Consider the following 4,021-nt stretch of genomic DNA (forward strand, 5'->3'; position numbering starts at 1 on the left):
TCACCCAATAATTTTAACTTCATTGTTCTGGAAGTCATTGCAAAAATAGTGATATTGCTTTTGCACATACAAGGTGCGTTATCTTACTTAAACTTCACAACCAATCTATGAAGAAGGAATTAGTGTTGCAGTGTTTCATAAATAAGAAAAATGAGGTTCAGAGACATTGAGCCACTTGCTCAAGGCTGCAGGTACAGTGATATTAATGCCCTGTAATTCACCCCTCTGATTTCAAGTGCTGTTAAATCTAATTTTCTCTCAGACTGATAAGGGTTTGTTCCACTTTTAAGTGTCTGTCACACGCCCTTTCACAATAAAACATTCTTCTTGAAAGCCTTCATTGATTGAGCCCCTTGAAGATTCAGGGACTTGCTTTGCCTCTGCTCTCTGATTTAAGCAGTCTCCTTTGTAAACATGGGCCTGTCGCCCTCTTTCACATTTCTCAAGGAAAAAATGCTTAATTTGGATTCTCTATTTATTTTATTAATATTTTTTCTTTCACAGAACCTGATACAAATTCTTGACACAATGGAAGTACTAAAAAAAATAATGGTCTCATTTGGTAAATTAATTCATGCCTGGAGCTTAATCTTCATGCTGCATTTTGAGTCTACTTACTCTCTTTCTGCCATTGGGGGTCAGCGTAGGGTGAGGTAAAACAGAGAGAAAGAATTTTTGAGGAGCTCCCTTTCTGTTGAACGACGTCTTTTAAGGTTTTATAGGAAAAAATAAACAGCACTTTGAAGGCAGAAAGCAGAAGGCAGAGGTAGAGACTGTTGTTAGGCATGGCTTGGGCATTTAATGCATTGTGTGGATAATGACAATGGTCAGTTGTTAGCAGCATCAGTGGTTCTTGCATTGGACCATTGTTAGGCTTATTTGCTGTAAGTGATCCCTGCTGTGTTAAAAAGGCAAATAAATATCCCAGTTTCATTTTAATATTATTTTTGCTAGGGAAGAGAGAATCATTTTTTGAGATACCCAGCTTTTGCACAGCCTGCCACAGTTACTATTACCATCATTTGTTACACTGGCTTTAAAAAACAAAACAAAAAATTCCTATATTCAGTGTGTCTCTTCAGAACCTATTTTATTTTTAACATTCAGTTATGGCTCTTTGCTGATCTTTTGTACTGCTGCTGTGTTGGCATTAGCTTTGCTATTTATGATTTCTGCATTTCCATTATGATGCTTACATGTTCTGTATTTCACTGCAAAAAAATATATATTTGACCTGTTCTAAAAACCCTGCTCATTTAAATCCAAATCTTTCTGTGGCTGTTTTTGCATGTGTCTTCCAAATCTTGGTGACCAAATCCAGACCCAGGAAGGGAAGAGTTTCCACCTCATTTTAGTCTATTAAAGCGGAGTGTTCAGCATGCCTTCTCAGGTCTCCAAAAGGGCAGCAATCAATTTTGGGGAAATACTAAACCATTTTTCACTTTTATGAACCACTGAAATCTATTTGCATATTAGGTGAAATCACTGGAGTACATTCCTGCCCCATTTTGTGTATGTCTTCAGATTGTCCAGCTGTGATCATGTGTACGTTGGGGAATACATATACTCCTCTGCCTAAAGCAAAAGACCAATGTCTTTATTAAGCATAAAGATCAGGGTTCAAAGCTCAGCTCCACTACTTACTAACTTGGACTTCTGTTGTAGAGAGAAAACGTTCATGTTTCTGCATTGCTTTGACTTCACATGGAGCCCTTTCTTCTTTTACTGCAGGCTCCCGCATTGCAGTCTTTCTACCTGGGACCACTGTCTACACATTGACTCCCTCTCTGCTAGAGGGTAATGATGGGATGATATGGTAAGTTCTACTCTTTCCTGCCATTGCTTGTCACACCTAAAAACCAATATATATTCTTATTAATTTCAAGTACTTTTTTGTGCACAGATATGTTTGTACTAGGCCAGTGGTTTTCAACCAGGTTGATTTTTGCTCACAAGGAGACATTGGCAATTTTTGATTGTCACGCTGAGGTAAAGGAGGTAATACTTAGAGATAGAAGCCAAGGATGCTACATGCAACAAGACACAGGAGAGCCCCTCACAAGAATTATCTGGTCCAAAATGTCAGTAGTGCCAAGGTTAAGAAATTCTGTGCTGAGCACTGAATATAAAAATTATATGAAGCATAGACATTTCATCAAATAAAGCACAAAAACAGATTTTATAGGTGATAGAGCATATAAGACAATACTGACAAAGATACAGAGGACATAAAATACATTATACTAAGACTGGAGTGGGAAAAGATGTCAGAAAATTTTCACTGAAGAGAATGCTTTGTCTGAGACTAGAAGAATGACCGGAAATTTTCCTTGGTGAGCAGGAATGGAATAAAGAGTGCATTGTAGGCCAAAGAAGTGAATGAAGCAAACGCTGGAAGGCAGGTGAGCAAATCAAATTTTGAGAACAATGTAGGGAGAAGGCATGGCATGAGCGGCTATGGGAAATCCTGTCATGGGAGGACATCATATACAATTTTAAGTCATTGCTACCTTTTCAAGAAAGAATACTTTGCAGCAATGTGGGGGAGGGGGTCTAAATTGAATATTTGGAGATTGGAGCCAGGAATCCAATTAAGAAGTTATTTCAATAGCCCGGTAAGAAATGATGGGGCTGGAGAGAACCTGTGCTGAACTGTCAGCTAATGGATGAACATGATGAACATCCAAGGGCATGGAAATTTTCTTTGAAACCCTCTCCTCCACAGACTAATCTAGAAATTAACTAGATCATTTTCTTTTGGGTCAAAGAAATAGTTACTAGAAGGAGGCTGTAAAGCATGCAGTGAAGGGACAGTTTGCTCTTGTTCAGCTGATTGTACTATTTCTCTTTAAACTAGAACTGTGAATCCAAAAGTTTATTATGGCTCTTTGTTCATCATATTCTGAATTGACTTCCCAGCTTTTGGCAAGGGGGTTGAGTGAATGATGGTGTCATTCAATGAGAAAGGAAGTGAATGCAGACAAGGGGCAGTTGTGGGGGAAGACGGTGTGTTCACTGGAAACGTTTCTGTGGGACATTTAGGGAGAGATACTGTTGGGCACACAGAGAGAGACTGTGTCAGTGATATTAGATTTGGAAACCACAATCTAAGAGGTAATAAATGAATGCAAGATCAAGCAAGAAAAATATATATGGCAATATAAGAAACTAATTTAAGATAGACTACTGAATAGTGGCTATTTTGGGGCCAGAAGAATCAGAACTGCCATTGAAGAACATGGAGAAAGGTGGTAAAGAAAGAAAAGAGTGGTATATTAGTCCGTTCTCACGCTGTGTAAAGAATACTACCTGATACTGGGTAATTATAAAGGAAAGAGGTTTAATTGACTCACAGTTCTGCATGGCTGAGGAGTTTTCAAGAAACTTATAAACCTGATGGAAGGTGAAGGGGAAGCAGGCACCTTCTTCATAAGGTGGCAGGAGGGAGTGCCCAAGCAGGTGAAATGCCAGGTGCTTATAAAACCACCAGATCTCATGAGAATTCAGTATCCTGAGAACAGCGTGGGGGAAACTGCCCCCATAATCCAATCACCTCCCACTAGGTCTCTCCCTCAACACTTGGGGGTTAAAATTCAAGATGAGATTTAGGTGGTGACACAAAGCCTAACCATATTAAGTGGTAGCAAGGAAATAAAAAGAGATGAATCTTTTAACCTTTGCTTATGCCAGGGAAGTGAATTTTGGGTGGGAGAGATTATTAAATTTTTAATATATTTCTATACTCTGACTTGCTATAATAAGTACGTACTAAAAAGATATGCTCTAACTTTATCAGAGTATAACTTACATAAAATGTATCCTTTCAAGTGAATAATTTGATGCTCTTTGACAATTTTTTTCACCCATGTAATCTCACTCTAATCAAAACATAAACTATTCTGTCATCCTAAAAAGTTCACTTGTGATTCATTGAAATAAGGGCTCCTGGCTGAATTTCCTGGGAGTTTGTCCTACAGGTTTTAGACTTAACCCACAACCACATGAGCCAATTCCTTAAAAA

The 4,021-nt window shown here is 38.4% G+C and overlaps 1 annotated feature.

The window, feature by feature from the left end:
* Window positions 312–1,242: an enhancer, noted in NCBI's record as "OCT4-NANOG-H3K4me1 hESC enhancer chr14:26076183-26077113 (GRCh37/hg19 assembly coordinates)". NCBI's record gives its function as "activates a minimal SCP1, AML or CMV promoter by ChIP-STARR-seq in naive and primed H9 embryonic stem cells {active_cell/tissue: H9 hESC(naive and primed)}" and the evidence as "EXISTENCE:reporter gene assay evidence [ECO:0000049][PMID:30033119]".

This window comes from Homo sapiens, chromosome 14 (genome assembly GCF_000001405.40).
Source record: "Homo sapiens chromosome 14, GRCh38.p14 Primary Assembly".
In the NCBI taxonomy this organism is placed as follows: domain Eukaryota; kingdom Metazoa; phylum Chordata; class Mammalia; order Primates; family Hominidae; genus Homo; species Homo sapiens.